The sequence below is a fragment of the Homo sapiens genome, chromosome 9, assembly GCF_000001405.40.
Source record: "Homo sapiens chromosome 9, GRCh38.p14 Primary Assembly".
In the NCBI taxonomy this organism is placed as follows: Eukaryota; Metazoa; Chordata; class Mammalia; order Primates; family Hominidae; genus Homo; species Homo sapiens.
In genome coordinates this window covers 116,292,443-116,313,284 of record NC_000009.12, presented here as the reverse complement: position 1 = coordinate 116,313,284, position 20,842 = coordinate 116,292,443, and the positions used below count along the sequence as shown (strand labels likewise).

Sequence of the window (20,842 nt, the reverse complement as noted above, 5' to 3'; positions counted from 1 at the left end):
CAGGGACAACTTTTTTGGACTGCCCTGGCACAGGGAACCTCTCAGCAGGGACATCTCTCATGGGCCTCTCTGGGCCCATTTCTCCCTGGAAAACAAACATGTACAAATGTACCCAGGGTGCTCTGGTGCTTGGATCTGGCTGAAGAATTAATCAGGGTTTAAGAAAATCATGGTTGGAGTTTCTTTTTTTTTTTTTTTTTTTGAGATGGAGTCTCACTCTGTCACCTAGGCTGGTGTGCAGTGGCCCAATCTCCGCTCACTGCAAGCTCTGCCTCCCGGGTTCACGCCATTCTTCTGCCTCAGCCTCCCGAGTAGCTGGGACTACAGGTACCCACCACCACGCCCAGCTAATTTTTTGTGTTTTTAGTAGAGATGAGGTTTCACCGTGTTAGCCAGGATGGTCTCCATCTCCTGACCTTGTGATCCGCCTGCCCTGGCCTCCCAAAGTGCTGGGATTACAGGCGTGAGCCACCACGCCTGGCCTGGTTGGAGTTTCTTAAGAGGAGGCAGAAGGCCCTTTCTGGTCTCATTCTACAGGTAACATACCCAGTCTAATTTATCAAAGTAAGGATGGGAAGGAATAGAGAGTGGGGAGGAATAGAGAGTAGAGACGAGGGGACTTGAAAGACAAACAAAAACAAATGAACACATTTGTGTGTACAAAAATAAAAACAAAATCTTGTGCACAGCCAAACTCTAACTCACCTCAAAACCCCATCCTTTGGGTCTGGCTTGAGAAAGTTTACTTTCAGACTTAGAGAAATGAGTATGTGGTTTTAGGGACAAAATTCAATACCGCCAAAGCAGCAGGCTCAGCAAGCTCAACTGGCTATTGCTTCCTAAGTGCATTACAGCCCAGGAGAGTGAACGCTGTTTACATTTTTTACATGTTTCTTGGGTACAGAACATGAAACTAAATTACACAGCAAAGGCCATGCTGGCTGAATGCTGGTGACCCCACTTAAAACAAAACAATAACAAAAAAAAAAAAAAAAAGAAAGAAAGAAAAGAAAAGAAAATGAAAGACAAGAACAAAGAAGGGTTTTAAGGGAGCCAGAACAAATGACAGGGATAAAAGAAAGGTTTCTGGTCCTGAAGCTAAAGAGGATGTGGAGAATGAAGGTAATGAGATAGGGGTAGGCCAGGTTTGGAAGAAAAAGGAAGACAGAGGCCAAGGAATCTTCCTAGATGGGCCATGGAAGGGGTTGGCAGGGTTTTATCTAGTCTACATGGAGAACCAGTAGATGCAGCCCCAAACCACAAAGCCTTGCTTATTCTTGGGCTTCAAGTCAAGAGTCAAGTGTCAACTGAAAAATGAAGACTCGCTATTCAAAGCAGGATCTCACCGTTCCACGTGGCACCTTCCCTGATCAATCAATATGTGTTTGTTGTATGCCTACAAATGCCAAACCCATCCCTTCCTTGCTTTCCTCTCTTACACATTTTTGTTCCTTCTCCAGATTCAATTTGCTCAGGGATAATGTAGTTTAGTAGGGATGTGAACTGACAAGAATTAGATGCCTCGCAAGACGTAGCCACGTATTATACACTTTATATATGTTAGCTCATTGGATCCTCATACCATCTCACAGAATGACAGCAGGATCATGTGAAGATGAGGACAATTGAGGCTCAGAAAACTGAAATCATTCGCCAGGCATCAGACAGCTGGTAACAAACAGTACCCAAGTCAGGTCTTTCTGGCTTTAAAGCTTATGCTTCCTCTGTGAAACAATATGGCTACACTACAATGTTTTTTAAAGCTTCCCCCAAATGCCCAAGTGGAAAGAAAAATCACTTTCTACATAACCTGTCACTTTATTCAGGTTCGCCCTTCCTCCTCAAAGGTTAACCTCTAAGGTTAATTCCATTTGTCCACATATCACAGCACTTTGCAAGCTTTGTCTTTTCTTATCGAAAGAAGCTATTTTGGTGTCTTCCTTCCTCCATGGCACATAACTTACTGCCTGAGAGCAGTGGTTGCTTTGTTCAACCTCATGTTGAAAATGATGCTTTGGACCCAGAAGATTCACAAGATTCTGTTGATTTTGAATCCAAATACCAGAATCATTTTATAACGGATGGGATTGAGAGGTTCAGGGAAGTTGTTTAATCAAAACCAAGTCTTAATTAAGTGAAGTAAGACCAAGAGACTCTCAAAGTCTCTCTCTGGTTAAATTTCTATGCCCCAAATACTATTCTGTTAGAAAAAAAAAAAAAAAAAAAAAGTCCACATGTTGTTCCTAATTCGATTTGTTCCTCAGTTGCCAAAACTTCACAGGCAGACAGAAGTGTTTCTTTAAAACTTTGTCGGTTGCTACCAGAAGGAAAACTGTATTTCTAGATCAACTGTCTCATCCTTGACAAATACCTGCCATGGAGATGTTATTACTCCTATATTACAGATGAAAAACTGGGGTGGGGGCAAAGAGAACTGACTTGCTTAAAGTCTCACAGCTAGTAAGTGGTGGACTCTAGAACTGAAAATCAGGTTGAACTGATCCTAGATCTCATTTTTTATAAAGCTCCAGTCACTCAGAGTTTTTCAGTCCAAATCCTAGGGCCAGAGTGTCTAGACTTTTGTAGATTTGAACAGATATTGAAAGGGTAAATGACCAAAGGATGAATAGAAGAGAGAGCCAGGAGCAGAATCTAGTAGATCTCTTTGCTGGGGCCCCATAAGATTCAGTAGATTTAAAGTCTCCCACAGTCCAAGGTTTCCATGAAAGTTTTGGGGGTGGTTATAGTGACCAACTCAGTGGGCTCCTTTCTGAGGCAGGCTCTGATTTTTACTTTCCTGGAGGGATTTTTTTGGTGCCCCACACCATGGGACAGGCTGAACTAGACCATGGTACTTTCTGTTCTGTCTCCTTAGATGACTTGCACACGTGCTCTTGAAAAATTATTCAGAAACCACCAGGAGAAAGCAGATCCTTTGGGTATTTGGGAAAACTGCTTGGAATTGTCTCTGAAATTTCAGCATGTTCCCTTCGCCTTTCCTCCTTCCACCACCATTGGCAAAGGCTCTCTCATTTCACTAATGAGAGGAGATGAATGCTTTGGTGAAGGCCATAGCAGGCAGAGCAGGCAAGGAAGGGGCAGAGAGCCCCTTAGAAGTGACTTCGGCATTGGGTATAGAGCACAGGATTTCTTCCTGCCCTTTGCAAATAGCACACTCTAATTAGCATTGCAGAATTGCTTATCAATGCAGAATTTCCAAGTGAGGCTGTTTTAATGCAATACCAGTATCCTGGTATAAGAAAAGAAAACAGAAGAAAGAGTACCATGGGTGGGGTGATTCATCTCCCTGAGACTCAGTTTCTTCATTTTGAGAGAGGAATATTAAGAATTCTCAGCAGGGTTGTTCTGAAATCTATGCAAAATAATACAGGGCCTGGCATGTAAGAAGTGTTCAACACTTGTCAATGTTCTTCTTTCAATGATCCAAACATGTTAGCCCCCTGCTGAAAAACTCAGAAAAACTCCCCATTGCCCTCAGGATAATGTCAAGTTCCAAGCATTGGCAGGATTTTCCTAACCATGTTTCCTAGCTCATCTCTCTTGACTTCCCCTTCATCTATTATTTACCTTTTTTTGGATATACCCCTCGCAGCCCCCATTATGTGATTCTTTCCTCCCTCTCCCGTCCTCCCTCTCCTGTCCTCCAGCTTATCCTCTTAGTTGAAACTCAGCAATCACTTCTCCCTGACCTCCTCTCAGTCCGCCTCTCTGAGCACTTCCTACACTGCATCATAAGTGTACGTGGAAAGATTTCTTATCCTTGTATCCATACAATACCCTAGTGGGTATCTAGTCCCTTGCTGTGGAGACAAGGATGAAGAAGACACAGATGAATGGCTTCTCCCCTCCTGCCTCAGACTTGGCAGCCATCAGAAAATATGCACATCTGGCTGGGCGCAGTGGGTCACACCTGTAATCCCAGCACTTTGGGAGGCTGAGGAAGATGGATCACTTAAGGTTAGAAGTTTGAGACCAGCCTGACCAACATGGTGAAACCCCATCTCTACTAAAAATACAAAAATTAGCTGGGCATAGTGGCATAGGCTTGTAATCCCAGCTACTTGGGAGGCTGAGGCAGGAGGACCACTTGAACCTGGGAGGTGGAGGCTGCAGTGAGCCGAGATTGTGCCACCGCACTTCAGCCTGGAGGACGGAGTGAGACTTTGCCAAAAAAAAAAAGAAAAAAAGAAAGAAAATATGCACATCTTACAATTCCCTTTCACTGACATTTTAAGGTTTCCTATGTATAGCACATAGCTTGTGACAAAACTGTAAATTGAGCAAAGTTTCTTCTTCCTATTTGTGCATTTATTATTTTTTTCTCCCCATATCCCTACTATAATTAAGCAGACATTCCAAAATTTAAGAAATAATTTTTACATGCAAGGGTTGGCAATTTACAACACTTATGTGTCTCTCTTATTTCCATACACACATTTTAGAAAACTCTCTGGAAAGGGCAATGGGTGAAAGAATGGGGGCCAAAAGATGGAGATCTTAGCAGCAGGCAAAAATTGTAGGGCAGTATTTTGGGTATTAGAGAGAGGGAATGCCCACTTTCCCGGTGTTCCTTAAATACGTACCACATATTAAAAGATGCAAAAGACACTAGCTCTTCTAGCTTGTTCTCATGTGTCAGTCATTGGAGCAGGCTTGAGCTGCCTGGTCCTGTAGCTGTATTTCTATTATGAACACAGTGGCCTGCATCTTGGTTCTGCCCCTTATAGAGATGAGCCCTGAAGCAAGTTACTCTGCTCTCTGAGCCTTTGTGTCCTAATCTGTAAAATGAAAACAGTGATTCCTATTTTTGTAGTAGCTTTAGTAGGATTCGTGAAATTTGGTGGAAAGCCTGGAAGAAGTTGATAAATGCTATTTTTATAATTTGTCCAGGATCTTCTGAAAGTGGGCAAAGGACTTTTCTATCTTACACACTGGCTCTCATCACTACTGGCTGAGTAAGCTGATAGCAGTGTGGTTTCTTCCTCGGGGAAACTCCCTCTAGATCTTACACTCTCACTCTTGGGTCTTTGGCTACTATTTCTAGTTGAAAACACCCTTCTGATGACATGGTAAGCTTTATGAAGGCAGAAAAAGAACCAGTACTTCTCTGAAGCTTCTCAAAGTGCCTGCTGCAGTTCTGAGGATGCAGCAAACGTTTGCTGACGCAACTGTGTTTAATTCAACAAAATGTTGACTGAGCTTCTGTTCTGTGTGGGTCCCTAGAGCCAGCTTTGGGGGGAGTGCAAAGAAGGAAACCTGACATGAACAAGACAGAGAATTAACATTTGAACTACCCATCAAGTTAACAAACCCAGCACAGAGTGTTTTCTCTGCATCCTTCATTTCTACCAGGTAGATATCATTCATCTTAATTTCTACCAGGTAGATGTTATCATTCTCATTTTCTACAGGACACTAAGATTCCCAGAAGAGTAACTTACTCAAGGTTTCCATGTCAGAATGGAATTTAAGAGAGCAGAGCCAGATCTGCATGATTTCTACTTCACCTCATTAACGGCCATGCTCTCTCTCTCTCTCTCACATTCCTCAGTGCAGGACTCAAATATATTTCTGTTCAATCAAGTGAATAAATAAATTAATGTATAAATTGTTATATTACAAGGTATAGTATGGTTTGTATTTTATTTTATTTTTATTTTTCTTGAGATGGATTTTCCCTCTCATCACCAAGGCTGGAATGTAATGGCACCGTCTCGGCTCACTGCAACCGCTTGAACCGGGTTCAAGCGATTCTCCTGCCTCAGCTTCCCAAGTAGCTGGGATTACAGGTGCCTGCCACCACAACCGACTCAATTTTGTATTTTTAGTAGAGACGGGGTTTCACCATGTTGGTCAGGCTGGCCTCAAACTCCTGACCTCAGGTGATCCGCCCGCCTCAGCCTCCCAAAGCGCTGGAATTACAAGCGTGAGCCACCGTGCCCGGCCTGGTTTGTATTCTAGTAGAGGCATGAAGTATTATGGATGGGCCAAGGAATGATAATAGCAACTCAAAATGAAGTGGCCAAGGACTAATATACCCAATCGTGGGTTAATGGGACATAAAGTCAGAGAATCAATTACAAAGAAAAGAGGCATACCTAGGTCTCACCTGCCTTCTAGTGCAGGAATCTTCTGTTCAGTCAGCTGTCCAGCCTGAATGCCTTATGTTGGGGAACTTCTTATATCACAAGGCACTCCATCTCACTGTGGATAGTTCTCATTCTTTGAAAAGTTTTCTTTACTTTGGCCCTCAAACTACTCCCCTTGAAATGCTTAGTCTAAGTTTTACCCTCAAAGGATTAAGGAAATAAATTGGTTGGTTGACTGAAGGTCTGTAATCCCTTAGGAGAGCACTGTAAATTCCAGATAGTCTTAGTATTTCCATTTCCTCCTCAGGCCACTGCAAAGGAGGGAGGTGCCTGTTTGGATAGGAGGAAACAGACTTTGGTAGAAATGCTGGAGGCCGGGGTAAAAGGAAGGAATATCAACATCTCATTTTGGCATCCTTTTGTGTAAAGCATTAGAGAAATGTGAAACATGGAGACCAAATAAGAACAATACAAGATATTTGCAAGCACTTAAACCAAACCAGGTTCTGAGGTTCCCAGAAGAGAGATAACTTGATTTTTTCGGTTAATTTCCATTTTTTTCTGTCTCAGGAACTTCTTGATTCCAGCTGGGCCAGGAAGGTGCATGGCCAAAATATCCAAAGAATGTCTCTTATTATAGGATGTTCAACCCAATTTGCACAACCAGGAAGTTTTGATACTTCTGATAAGATTTGGATATGAGACTCAATGTTCAGGGTTAGCTTTGCCCTAACCAAATTTGGGAATCATGTTTGAAAAGAATGAACGAGAAACACTGGAAACCATTAGATATGGCAGGCTTTTACAACATCAAAACTGAAGTTTTAATCAATATTCTCAAGCCATATAGCACAATGCATGTTGTTTCTTTGCAGTAGTCATAGAGATCCTGCAGACTTATTGTGATAAGAATGTGCCTTTGATAGAATTCTCACTCCTAACTCTTGTACAGTGACTAGGTCAGAGGCTGGGTATTTCAGTTCTTTGGTTTCTTCCACAGGCTCTAGCACAGAACTAGGCACATAACTCCAATAAACACCTTCGCATTTATCATTTTTATTGCATCAGGGAAAGACAGAAAGTGGGACCAAACTGAATTGTAAAGAGGAAATGGGAATGACTAGGTTATTTCATCATTCCCTAAGTTAATGGAGTGTCCTAGGGAACTCCAGGGCATCATGGAACAGGGCCACCTTGTCAGGGAATGGGAACAGCCTGAATTTGAAGGTATGGGCAGTGACTATAAGTTTGTTCAAGGAGAACTGAAGTACCTCATGAGGTCTGCAGAGTGACACTCAATGCTGAGATCTATCCATCTAGGAGTCTTTCTGCCTGTTTTGTAGTGAAGTTTTCCAGGAATCCAGCCACTTCCAACTTTTGAATGTGACCTCATGTTCCCAAGGACCCACTGTCATTCATCTTCCATGAGATTCTTCTAATCCTAGATTCTTCCCTTATGGACCATGTAACTTATAGTGAAGCCACTGTGTTCCTCAGTTTCTCCAAGGTAGACAACAATTCCTACCTTGAAGAATGACAAGGGGATTGGCTGTAATGTGCATACATGTGTCCAGTGCCTGGTGGACCTTGATAACTACTATTTCTTTCCTGCTATTCTCTTCTATCTGCTTTGGTACTCCCATGCTCCTACAGGGCCTTTTGGTGTGTAAATTTGTGTATGTATGTGTGTGTGTGTGTGTGTGAGAGAGAGAGAGAGAAGAGGGAGAGTATGAGCATCTGGGGGGAAAGTGAGAAGCACATGATACAATTCCCATCTTCTTCCTAAGCCCAACTTCTAAGAGCCTCCCAGCTCCTCCTCTCAAGCTATCAACATCTTCACTGGAAGCCCTGACAGGGTGAAAATTAACTACCAATCTCTTCTAATCACTGTACAAGGTAATGAAGAGCACAATTATACTTCCTCCTCATTCTCTGTTGTTGGAAGGAAGGTACGTTTACACTTCAGGAATAGCCTTTACCTCTAATTATGCAGACTCCGTGTGTGTGTGTGTGTGTGTGTGTGTGTGTGTGTGTGTGTGTCTGTGTGCCCACGTACTTGTGTATGCGTGTGCCTGTGCCTCTGTGTGTGGTGGTGGTAGGGTGTGTGTGTGTGTGTGTTTGTGAATGACTTCTAGGTACTTGCTTTCAGATGAGGAATTCAGGAGACTTTTGTTCTGCTGCCCTCTTCCTGGCCCTGCACCCAGCCTGCACACATATTCCCTCCCCGACCCTGTATTCTCCAGTGAGCTGATCTCATTATGGCAAATTTAGTTACAGCTGAAATCTCCTTGTAACAAAGATTATGTCCAAGCCCAGAGTAATGGAACCTAGTCGATTTCATTAAAATAAAATTGGTTACAATGAATAATTCAATAGGATGATTTTGTTTCCTCATCTCCTCTTTGTAGATCGAAGAGCTAGTATTTATAATGATTTTTTAAATTGGATTTTTGTTTAGGAAGAGATAATCACCAGTAATTCCTGACAGCCCCCCCTTACAAGATTGGAATAATTGCCCCATGAAGCTTCTTTTCAAATGCTAAGACTGGAAAATTCTTTCTCTCCTTTTCTCACATTAGTCGCAATAACATTTGGGTGATTTTTAAGCACAGCTGCTACCTCAACTCTTCCTCATGGGAGGTTCTGAGTGTGTTAATAATTCTCTTGTTTGAAGGTTGTTTTTAAAACATTTCTAAGAACTGGATGCTAGTGTTGAATTTGGATTCCTTGTTCTCTTGCTGGCCCCAGCACTGTTGTTTCTGAAGCAGGACATTCTATGTGATAGAGAGGCAATGCGTGAGTGTTTTCTGTCAGTGTCGTTCATTTGCATGTGGCAATGGGATGTATGTATGTGTATGTGTGTGTATCTACAGTCAATTAAACACACATTTGCTGGGCACCTATCTAGCCTTTGCTTGAACATGAGAGGACAAAGATGAATAAACTGAAACTTGTTCTCAAAGAACCAGCAGCCTAATGGGGGAGCCAGACAGACAAATAGATACTTCAGAGTTCAGTATGATAAATGCAACCACACAGATGATTCCACCAAGTACAGACGTGGCACAGGGGGAGGATGAACCCTAGCCATTCATCTATCTGTGCACTCATTCATTCATTCATTCATTCAGCAGGCTGGCACTATACATTGTTAAGCATCAGGAAATGCCATGTTACCATTTGTTTCCACTCTCCTGAGGGCATTCAAAAATAAATGCAAATGAATAAAGGCTTTAGTGATGTAAACATAAACAAAAAGTGAATGAAGAAATAATCAAATACAGGCAACAACTAAAAATGAGGTAGTCCTATTCTGTACCTCACCCAGTGATTCTTCACTTGACCCCAGAGGAAGGTCATATCTTTCTTTCATCTAGAAGCCAGGGCTACCCGACTAAACCTAAATCAAGAAAGCAATATTGGAAAGGAATGCCTGGGAATAGCAGCTCATCTGCAAGGCCAGGAGGCAGGCTGGTCTCTGAAAGGCCACTAGGCCAGGCAGCCAGAAGCACTGAGTCGTGTCTCTGGGAAATTTGAGTCTCGGGGAAGGCAGGTGCTTCCTTGGTAGGATAATTGGAAAGGGGGCTCTCGGGACAGCATGACCATCTCTAGAATCATACAAGCACTAGTGGCCCCAAAACTCTCACTCCCTGGACTAAGCTGTCAGTCCCTTGGGGAAGAACTGTGGCACATAAATAGTGCATTAGGGGACTGAGGCATGAGTCACAGCTTCTTAGAATTGGGAAGGCCCTTGGAGATCAACAAGCTCAACTACTCTTTATTTTAAGGATGAGTCGAAAAATAGGGCCCAGAGAGGTGGGAGAACTAGTCTAAGGCCACATAGCAAATTACTGTATAATTACTGTTAATTCAAGTAGTACACAGCTTGGCGCCCCCTAAAAAGTGGGACTTCCAATATAAATTCATTCTTACCTCATTGAAATACATGATATATGCAAAATGGAGTTCTTTCTCCAAATATTAGTTATTACAGGCAAGGAAATAGGAGGACAGTCATTACCCTATCATACAATGTTCCCTGCCCTAACAATTCCAGATCTAATCTTTTACAAATGGTATTCATGAAGCCCTAACAGTACATTTAATAAAGATATGCTCAAGTGGCTATAGCCAATGACACTGCCTTAGAGGTGAGTAGCCTTGTGGGGCATAGCGGAGACTTTGAATGTCTGCAGGAAATGCCACACATGGTTAGGATCTTACCTGGGATGCTGCTGGCTGTCCGATGATGACCCAGCCTGGGCATTGCTGGTCTTGATGAGATACTGAAGCATTGGATGCCCACTGATCCAGGAATCCCTGGGGCGTGTAGACACCACAGTCCTTAATGCTGGTTTTTTGTTCAAACTCCTCACATACCCCATCACCATCATGGAAATAGCACCGGCTGGGTTCATCTGCAAAAGATTGACATAGAAAGGGAGAGAATAAATAAATATTTGTTCTTTGGCCTCAGCAATCATCAGCAGCTGCAGAGTCAGACCACCAAAACCATTGGTACTGTCAAGCCCATCACATTAGTCACGATGGACTATTACTCAGTCTTGAAAAAAAAAGAAGGAAATTCTGTCATCTGCAACAACATGGATGAACCATGTTCAAGGAGATAACCATGTTATAGGAAACGTGGAGGCCACCATGTTAAGGGAAATAATCCAGTCACAGAAAGACAAATACTGCATGATTCGACTTATAGATGGCATGTAAAGTAGGGAAGCTCATAGAAGTAGAAAGTAAAATGGTGGTTTCCAGGATCTCGGGGGAGGAGGAAATGGAGAGTTGCTTTTCAGTGAGTATGTGGTTTCAATTGTGCAACATGAAAAAGTTATAGGAATCTGCTGTAAAATAGTGTGCTTATAGTTAACAATATTGTACTTTACATTTAAAATATATAAAGAAGGTAGACCTTGTGTTGTGTGTCTATACTGTAATAAAAAGTTCACAAACACTTTCACCTTCATTATTCGAAATATTCCTCATAAAAACTTCATGTGGAAGATATTATTCTTCCAGATGAGGAAACTGAGATTCCATACATCTTTAATAACTTGCCCAAGATCACACAGTGTGTTAATACCTGATCTGGGTCTCCAACTCAGGCATTCACTTTCCAAGTTCTGAGTGCATTATTTGACACAAAAGAATTTCACAGAGGCAAACTGGGGGTTGTTTAACTCCAAAGAGGATTTCAGTTTTGCTTTAAAACATGAACTGATTTACAAGGGACATTGGCTTCAATTCCAGCTCTGAAACCAAATTGCTCTGTTAATTTGAATAAGTCTCCTTGCCACACTGGGCTCAACCATCAGAGCAGAGAAAGAGGTTACACTATTGAGACACCAAGAACCCTTCCTGTCTAATGCTATAGGCTTCTAAGGGCTTGTCGGATACCCTAGGAGTTTTAGTTAAAGACCAAGTGAATTCTCAAGCTCCCATGTCATCTAGACCACAGCAAGTGCTTCTGTTTGGAATGATTTAAAGCTGCAGCCGGCTGCAATGATTCTCACTTAGCTGCAAGGACAAGGATAACAGAAGCACAAAGCTAGCAGTAGGATGCCTTCTAAGTAGGTGTGACCTATGCATGTTTCTTGATATTTCAACACAGAACAATACAAGGAAAAACCTCAATGTGGCCAACCAAAAGAGATCACCTTGTCCACCTTTTTACTAATTCTAGCATCAGCTCTTCTGTGCTATTTTCCCAACTTTTCTAGGCAAAGCTAAATACCACCTCCTGTGTGGGTGCCTATTTTATAAAGATTTCTATCTTAACACTTATCACACTGTGCTGCTATTAAGTCTACATGTTGCAGGACTTTTGAAAGATTCTGAGCTCCTTGAAATATAGTTGCTAGCCAGTGTCTTAGGGTTACTATATAATTTATCATCCAAACCAGAGCACTTTGAAAATGATAGTGGTGCTATTAAAAATTATGTCCAGACAAAAGGAACATATCCTGGGAAAATCTGAATTTCTCAGGCAAATCAGGATATATGGTCACCCTAAGGCTTCTGCTTGATTTAGAACATTCTTCCACAAAATAATAGAGTGGAGCTCTGGAGAGGGCACTGAATTTAGGGCCAAAGACAAGGGTTTGGTTTCTGTCCCTTACATTAGCTATGTATCTTTGCACAACTGGCTTCACTTACTTCTTGGCCTCTTCCCCCTGTCCCCAGTCTGTAATGTAGAAATTATAGTCCCAACCAGGAAAACCTCTCAGGATAACCATAGAACTCTAATAGGAAATGAACATAAATGTGCTTTGTACATCCTAGAATAATCATCGAGAGAAAAAAAAAATACTCTTCTTTTAATGGGTTGATTTGCTTCTAAGTGGAGGAATTAAATCAGCTTGTGAAATCAGTGCTCACTTGAAACACATTCAAGCAACTTTCCCCTAGCTAGAAAGAGCCCCTGCCAAGGAGAAACAAGACAGATTTCTATGATGCTAAGTATCTGAAAAGAAGAGTCATTGGATTCAGGGGCACCAGAATGCTGAACTTCTTCCAAGCTGCAAAATCCCTTGTTTATTTCTGCCAACAGTTTACCCAGTGAAATACTATCAAAAGAGCCCAAATAGGGCCGGGCACAGTGGCTCATGCCTGTAATCCCAGCACTTTGGGGAGAGCCAAGGCAGGCAGATTGCTTGAGCAATCAGATGAGCCTGAGCAACATGATGAGACCCTGTCTCTCCAAAACATACAAAAGTTAGCTGGGCACAGTGGTGCACATCTGTAGTCCCAGCTACTCATGAGGCTGAGGTGGGAGGATTTATTGAGCCCAGTAGGTCAGAGCTGCAGTGAGTAGTGATCACACCACTGCACTCCAGCCTGGGTGACAGAGCAAGACCCTGTCTGAAAAAAACAAAAAAACAAAACAAAACAAAACAAAAGAAAAACAGAAAGAGAAAAGAAAGAAAGAATGAGCAAAAGAAACAGAATAAATCAATTCATTATAAGTGACCAGTAGCATTCATGGCAGTTCAATATAGAAAGAATACAGGCTCAGTACTTCTCAGTAGCTCCAACCTCATGTGAATGTGGCCACTCTACATATCGTATAACCTAGGCCCAATCCAAGAGTGACCAGCCATAAATCCAGACTTTACTCTTCAGAAACCCAATACAGAGAACTGAAAAGAGCAAGGGTTTTGACATCAGGCAGAAGTAGGTACAAATCTGAATTCTGCTTCCTATAAGCACTACAAAGAGGACATAAATAAAATAACCTAACCTCTCTGAACTTCATTTTCCTCATCTGAAAAAAAAAAAAAAATGGAGGTAATGATATTTACCCAGCGTTGTTGCAGTGATTTCAGATGATTGTGGGTATAATGCTGGCCCCTTCATCCATTTTATCTAATGGAAAACTGTGAGCTTGAGGAAGAAGCCATCTGCTTCCAGGTCACAGAGACAGGTGGTAGCAGAGCAAGAAGTAGAAGACTGGCCTTTTTACACCTAGCAGAGAAATCTTCTCCCTACATGCCACAGCTACAGAATGACGAAAACAACCTCTTGGAAATAAGATCATAGGGGTGCCTAATTCTTGGTATCACTTTCTTCTCCTCCAATGTAAAGAAAAATAGGGTAAGATTATGTTCTCTGTAAGGGTAAGATCTAGTCTCTAAAGTGACTTAATTTCCTTAGCAAAAAACCTCTCGGAATGACAGAAATTGGGGTTAGATTTTAGTTCTTCTAAAGGCTAATTTCTTCCTGATTATGTTAAAGACCACAATAAATTTGTCTGCTAGGAATCAGCAGAACCTGAGAATGGAGGAAAGGTAGAAATAGACACAGGTAGGTAAACAGGTATACAGGCAGGTCGATAAGTAATAGATGATATATAGATACGTAGAGGAAGAGTTAAAAGACAGAAAAATAAGATGGAGTTAAAAAGAAAGCAAGGGAGAGAGAGAGAAAGAGAGACAGAAGATGCAGTTTCTTCTCCAAGATTCTGCTGACAAAGCTATTGTGAGTCTCTTTTTAAAATAACATCCTTGGACACAGCTATTCAGTTTCTGTTGCTATTAGTGTCCCGGGGGCCCTTCAGCTACATCTGCCAGCCCGTGTCTGGGGAATTCTCTCTCCCTCTCTACTCCCTCTGCCCCAAGCACAGAAGAGAACAGAGTGAGGAATGGAATACAAATGTGCGGCCGCAAAAAACAAAGACAGCAACAACAAAACACTAAAACAAACTGGTCTTGTTTTCATTACATCAATTTACTTGGTGCTCCTTAAATACTTTCTGCTAGATGCTGAGCAGGTTGTAGTGAAAAGAGTCTGAAGTCAATACCAAGGTCAAATAACTTCCGTGTAGTAGCTAGGTAGCATTGATAATAATACAGTAAATTTCACTGTGAGGGATACTAAGAAAATTATACACAGACATACACATTCATGTGCACACATACACACTTTTATACACATACACATCCTGAAAACATAATACACTTTCAATAAATATTTGTTGAATGAACGAATGACCAAAATCTGGCATCCCCGATGTATATACTCTCAACCAAATACAGTTTAAACTCTGTACCCTTTGACTATTTTCTTTAGACTATGTCTTAGGGAGAAGGAAATGGAGCTGTAAGCCAGGTGGTGACTAGCTGATAGTGGGATTGCACTGGGCATTCTGATTTCTCCATCCCACGCCATCTTCCCCTCATATCAGGGAATTCCTCACTTCAGATTCATTCCCTTTCATGTGGTGACACATTTAGAAATCTGTTCTATCCAGCTAGGAGACTTGACGTGGGTAGGTGCCATTAGCAAAGTCTGTCTTCTCCAGTTGAGATTTCATATGCCAGAAACTTTCTTTTCCTTTTGGAAGAAATGAGTTCAGCTTCAAGAGCCCGAGGCAGATGGACTTGGTGTAAGTGGACAGACATAGTTGATACTGCCACCAGCTGACTTATTTTCATTTATCTGGAGCATCAAGGTGAAATGCCATGTCCCTGAGTTCCTGAGGCATGTCTGCAGGACACTACTTAAGATGCACAGAGATCGTTATTCCCATTTGAAAGCTTGGAAAACCAAATCTTAGGAAAATGATATTAGTTTACCTTGAAGCAAAGGCTCAGGTTAGAGCTATTGTTAAGAGTTCTTATCCTTGAAGTCAGAAATCCTGGATTCAAGCTCTTGATCTATCTCTGATTATTGGTTAATCTTGGACATGGTATTTCACCTCCCTATGCCTCAGTTTCCCCATATATAAAATGAAAACAAAATTACATTTTAGACTTTCTCAACAAGGTTCTGAGGATGATCAAATAGCATAACAGACTGAGATGGGAAAATAATACTGGTCTTAAAGACACAGGGTCTATTCTTAACAATGATGATAATGAGGTTGGAGTTGGAGAAGAAGTCTTCTTAATTAGAGATTCTACTTTTCTCTACCCAGCCCTAGACCCTAAGGTATCTTGAAGGATAGACATGATTAAAGAGGATGCATGAGCTATTTTCAATATAAATGCCAAGGAAGCAAGTAAACAAACAAAAGAAAAAAGTAACAACCTAAAGAAAAGAATATATTGACTTACATTGGAATGATTTCAACACAATTGGTGGACAATAATTAACTTAGCTGAATTAGAAACTTTGGGAATTTATGATGTCACTAGAATCACTCAGGTGAATAAGTGACAGAAATACCTAAAGAGGTTAAAGAGGTCAGAGCTGGAGAAGGGAGGAAGAAATTAAATTATTCGTGTCTTCTCAGTACAAGATATTAGGGATAATTTTCACAAGGAAACTTGCCTTCACATTGACTCTCATCAGTTTCAAAACGTTGAACAGATAGTCATAAGTTATCGGTTACTGTAAAAGCTAACTGAAGTCAATGTGTTCTTCAAACATGGCCTGAGATAATGTGTATTCTCTAGGATAGTGGGATAATTTAAGGTATTTTGGCTATAAGTCTTCTACCTGACATACAAATCTTACCATGCCCCTCCTTTGATAGATCCCCACTACTTATAGAAGGTCATTTTCTGCCAGACATGGTGGCTCATGCCTGTAATCCCAGCACTTTGGGAGGTTGAGGCAGGCAGATCATCCGAGGTCAGGAGTTCAAGACCAGCCTGGCTAACATGGTGAAACCCTGTGTCTACAAAAAATACAAAAATTAGCCAGGCATGGTGGTGTATGCCTGTAATCCCAGCTACACAGGAGGCTGAGGCAGGAGAATCAGTTGAACATGGGAGGTGGAGGTTGCAGTGAGCTGAGATCACGCCACTGCACTCCAGCCTGGGTGACAGAGCAAGACTCTGTCTCAAAAAAAAAATAAACACATAAAAATAATTTTAAAAAACATCATTTTCCTTAGCTTGGCATACAAGACCATCCACAAACTGTCCTCTTCATGCACATTCCACACGAACAATTCCGTTTCATTTCTCCACACCCTTACAAAGGTTGTTTTTCTCTGCCTGAAATGTGCTTTCCATTTTTCACTTTGCTAACTCCCACTGGTTCTTCAAGGTTCATCTAGAGCATCTCCTTTGCAAGTCTTCTCTATTCCTCATCCCTTTTTCCTGACCCCACCCTAGCTGAGTGTCATTCCTGTGTTATCACAGTTCCTAGATTTCTTCCATCACAGTTTCCTCACTGTCTGTCTGTGGGTCTGTTTCCTTATCAGGCAGACAAGATCTCTGCGAACAGAATTGTGGAGTCCTTCACGGTAGTATTTCCAACCCATAACAGTGCTCAGAGTAAAGGGGACACCAAACCAGTGATTGAGGAATATATGACTAGATAAACAACAAATGAAAGGTAACAACGGATTTATCTTTGAGTTCATTTATTACCAGATTATACATAGACTAAACTAACTAGGTGCTTGTGTACTTATTTGTAATGCTATTACTGACCATACCATGATAGTACTACAAACCAGATTTCATCAAAACAGAGGCACCTTCTTATAGGGTATGTCACACTTTTTCTAAAAGATTTATCAGCTTCACTATAAAATTTCCTCAAACCTTGGGATTGCAGTTTTCAAAATTAAACCCCAAGGGATTGCTTCTCAAACATTTCTGAGATGCCCAGCTAACACTAAGAACCCAGTAATTCATTTTTGATTATTTCAGCAATGAATGAGCAACAGATAAGAGCTACCAAAGCTTTCTGGAGATTTTAGGAGTGAGGGCTATTGCAATCCCCAGCTAAAATATCTTCTAATCAGTAGATGAGAACTGGAGAAGTCTATACATTCATTTAATCAATATACTAACATCTGCTTCTTGTTGTGCTGGTGCTGGAAATACGTTAATGAATCAGGACAGGCCCTCCTCCTATCAATACTTCTTGGGAAAATGAGAGAAGGCTTCCTTGACAAAATGATTTGGGAGAAACATCTTAGAGGGTATAAATAGTTTGAGCATGTAAAGAGAGGTGTCTGAGTAAAGGATAAACTTTGACCAATACTTGAGTAAGGGAATGCAGTAAATCCTGGAACTAATACAGTAAGAAACTGATCTGAAGCTAGATTTAAAAAAGATTGCAATACTATGTTAAATAAATCGAAATTATCCTTCAGAAATGAGGAGACTTTGAAATTTTTCTTTTCTTTTCTTTTTTTTTTTTTTTTTGAGACCGAGTCTCGCTCTGTTGCCCAGGCTGGAATGCAATGGTGCGATCTTGGCTCACTGCAACCTCTTCCTCTTGGGTTCTAGCAATTCTCCTGCCTCAGCCTCCTGAGTAGCTGGGATTACAGGCACCCGCCACCACATCCGGCTAATTTTTGTATTTTTAGTAGAAACGGGGTTTCACCATGTTGGTCAGGCTGGTCTCGAACTCTTAACCTCAGGTGATCCACCCCCCGTTCAGCCTCCCAAAGTGCTGGGATTACAGGTGTGAGCCACCATGCCCGGCCCACTTTTCAATATATAATTCTGGGAGCAAAATAGTTGATTACCCTTAAGTAAGTCTCAATATTACTTTTGGAAATCTCTGATTTCACTTTTTGTAACATTCACTGGTATTGGCTAAATATAACTAGTCTGGGAAGCTATTGAGGTTACTAATCTTCCAGCCCATTGATGAGCCAAAAAGAAAACCAAACATACACAAAACTACCTGTAGATGAGGAGATGAGAGTTCTTAGTCACTAATTTAGAGCTCAAGGAGAAAGCAAAGATTTTGAATGTGCACTCTTCTGAAATGAACCTCCTTCCAAACGATGAGTGGATTCACCTGTCTTTCTAAATTTCTTGCAAATAAAGATAGGACAGCTTTTGAGAAATTAGCATCTATTTCTATTTCTAGCTAATAAAACAGTGATTGGCATTATGATATTCTCTTTTAGTCCAACGATTACTTTTCAAAAAGATCTTTAAAGGCCAGAAAAAAAGTAGCATATTTTAAGTTTAGCTGTTTATTTAGAGATGGGTTCAATAACAACAGTCTTTATGCCACATCACAATTCTTCCAAACAGCAACAAAAAGAAACACCCCCACACACAACAAAGCGTGATCTTTGTACTTAAACGTTAGTTTCTTGGAACAGGGGGAGCAGGAGTGCTTACCTGCTGAAGGTTTACAAAGGGGAAGCTTGGGTGGGGCTGGGAGGTGGCTATATATTGGCATATGTTTCCTCTGGGACAGAAATATCTTGACTTTATATAGCCTATCTTTCAAAGGCTTCGTGTCAAACCCACATTGCTGACCTCATTTAATTCTATTCAAACCAGGGTTTCTTCTTAACCTCCTCAACCAGATCAGCCTGCCCAGAGTACAAAAGACAGGGTAGTGAGGGCTCCTAAGGAACCATGAATCTGCTAACAAGCTTCAGATGCTGATTAGGTCTACTGAAGGAGACCTGAATCTGAGGAGCTTAAGTTGGTTTCCAGTTCCTTCAAAGGTTGGCCACATACCCACATGGGCCAGAAATTCCTCCCTGTGTTTCACTGTGAGAATCAAGCATCCTCCAACAAACTGAAGGCACTGGAAAAGAAGAGCATCCCTGGAAGTAATCACATTATCACACTAACTCTACACTCAGGCCCATCAAGGAAGGCACCTATAGCACAGCCTCATATTCTATCTACTTAGCCCTTACACACTCAAAACTGGCTTTGCATCTTCCTCACCTCAATCCCTTCTCACAAAGCAGCTTATGAATCTATGAATGATTTATCTAAAATATGAATATTTTCATGTTTGAAATACTTTATTTATTTATTTATTTATTTTGAGACAGAGTTTTGCTCTTGTTGCCCAGGCTGAAGTGCAATGGTGCAATCTTGGCTCACTGCAACCTCCGTGGGTTCAAGTGATTCTCCTGCCTCAGCCTCCTGAGTAGCTGGGATTACAGGAATGCGCCACCAAGCCGGCGAATTTTTTGTATTTTGAATAGAGACGGGGTTTCTCCACATTGGTCAGGCTGGTCTCGAACTCCCGACCTCAGGTGATCCGCCTGCCTTGACCTCCCAAAATGCTGGGATTACAGGCATGAGCCACCGTGCCCAGCCTGTTTGAAATACTTCATAGACTCCTACAAAATTTTAACTTCCCCAACTAGCTTTCAAGTCTTTTTGTAATCTAGCTCCAACTTTCCTATTTATTCTTAGTTCCAACCACATCTCCACCGTCAAATGCATCCAGTTCTTTCCCAGAACTCACATCTCAGAGCATCTGCCCTTACTTCCTTAGCCTGAAAGGCTGGTCCTGCCTATGAGTCTTCCATTAAGATTCAGTTCTAGCAACTTCAGCTCCATGACATCTCTCACTTTTCTGCATCACTACTTGTTTGGTACAAACCATTTCCCTCTATTTCCTACATCATTAGTCTCCCAAATCAGCAAAATAGAATATAGCCCATCTAAAGATTTAAAAATGTAAAAATTCTTGAAAAATTCAAAGTTTTTAAATTAATAAAAACGCAAACCTCCTTTCATTCTGTTATACGTCTCCTAAATACTATTTCTCCTATCCCACATCTCTCTTTCTATGATTCACAGTAAAATTTATTGCGTTATCTAAACTAGTGTTATTCACTTTGTCTCCTGCACTTCACCTATCGGTTCTCTCCAGTCTAGCTTCTATACTCACCACTCCACCAAAATCAATCTCATTAACGTCGTCATCAACCTCAAAGTTGCTAAAGCTGAGCATGATGTCAAAATCCCCATCTTGCTAGACTGCCTTGAAGCATATAAAGAAGTAGCCCCCTCCTGTCTTCTTGCAGTCCTCCCTCTCTTGACTTCCATGACATCATGTCATCCTAGTTGTCTGGGATCCTCCCCCACAGACTCATTTGAGGGCTTCTCCTTCCCTAACTCTACATGGAATGCTGCCAGACTTCAGGGTTAGATGGGGACCCCTTTTTCTTTTTTATCTACAGTTTCTCATCCTGTCTCAGTTTCTAAATAAAAATTTTAAAACCTCTATGTGCCAATCACTGAAACATTTATAGCCTTAGATATGACCTCTTCTCTGAGTCCCAACTGCCTAAAATTATATCTCTACTAAATATCTGCCTATTTAAAGGCATCACAAAATCATCAAAAGACATCAAAAAACATATCTAAAACAAAAATACTGATTTCTCCCCACATTCCCTTTTTCTCCACCTTAGTAAATGACAACACCATCACTTAACAATGACCAAACCAAAACCTTCCCAGTCATCTGTCCTACTTTTTTTCAGCTCACCCTTTAACACCACACAAAGTCCATCAGTATACCTTATAGGCTCCTTT

General features: G+C 41.3%; 1 protein-coding gene and 1 long non-coding RNA gene across 4 annotated transcripts in view; one reads left to right on the top strand and one right to left on the bottom strand.

Moving 5' to 3' along the window:
• The window catches only part of PAPPA (pappalysin 1), a 248,531-nt gene that overhangs the window by 89,037 nt on the left and 138,652 nt on the right, over window positions 1-20,842 (bottom strand). For all 3 annotated transcript variants that reach the window (NM_002581.5, XM_017014784.3, XM_006717129.4), the window contains one exon: window positions 10,335-10,528. In NM_002581.5, the coding sequence (NP_002572.2) occupies window positions 10,335-10,528 (194 nt within the window). The remainder of the gene's footprint in view (window positions 1-10,334; window positions 10,529-20,842) is intronic.
• Window positions 1-20,842, top strand: part of PAPPA-AS2 (PAPPA antisense RNA 2) — a 77,849-nt gene that overhangs the window by 50,392 nt on the left and 6,615 nt on the right. The gene's annotated exons all lie outside the window — the stretch shown is intronic.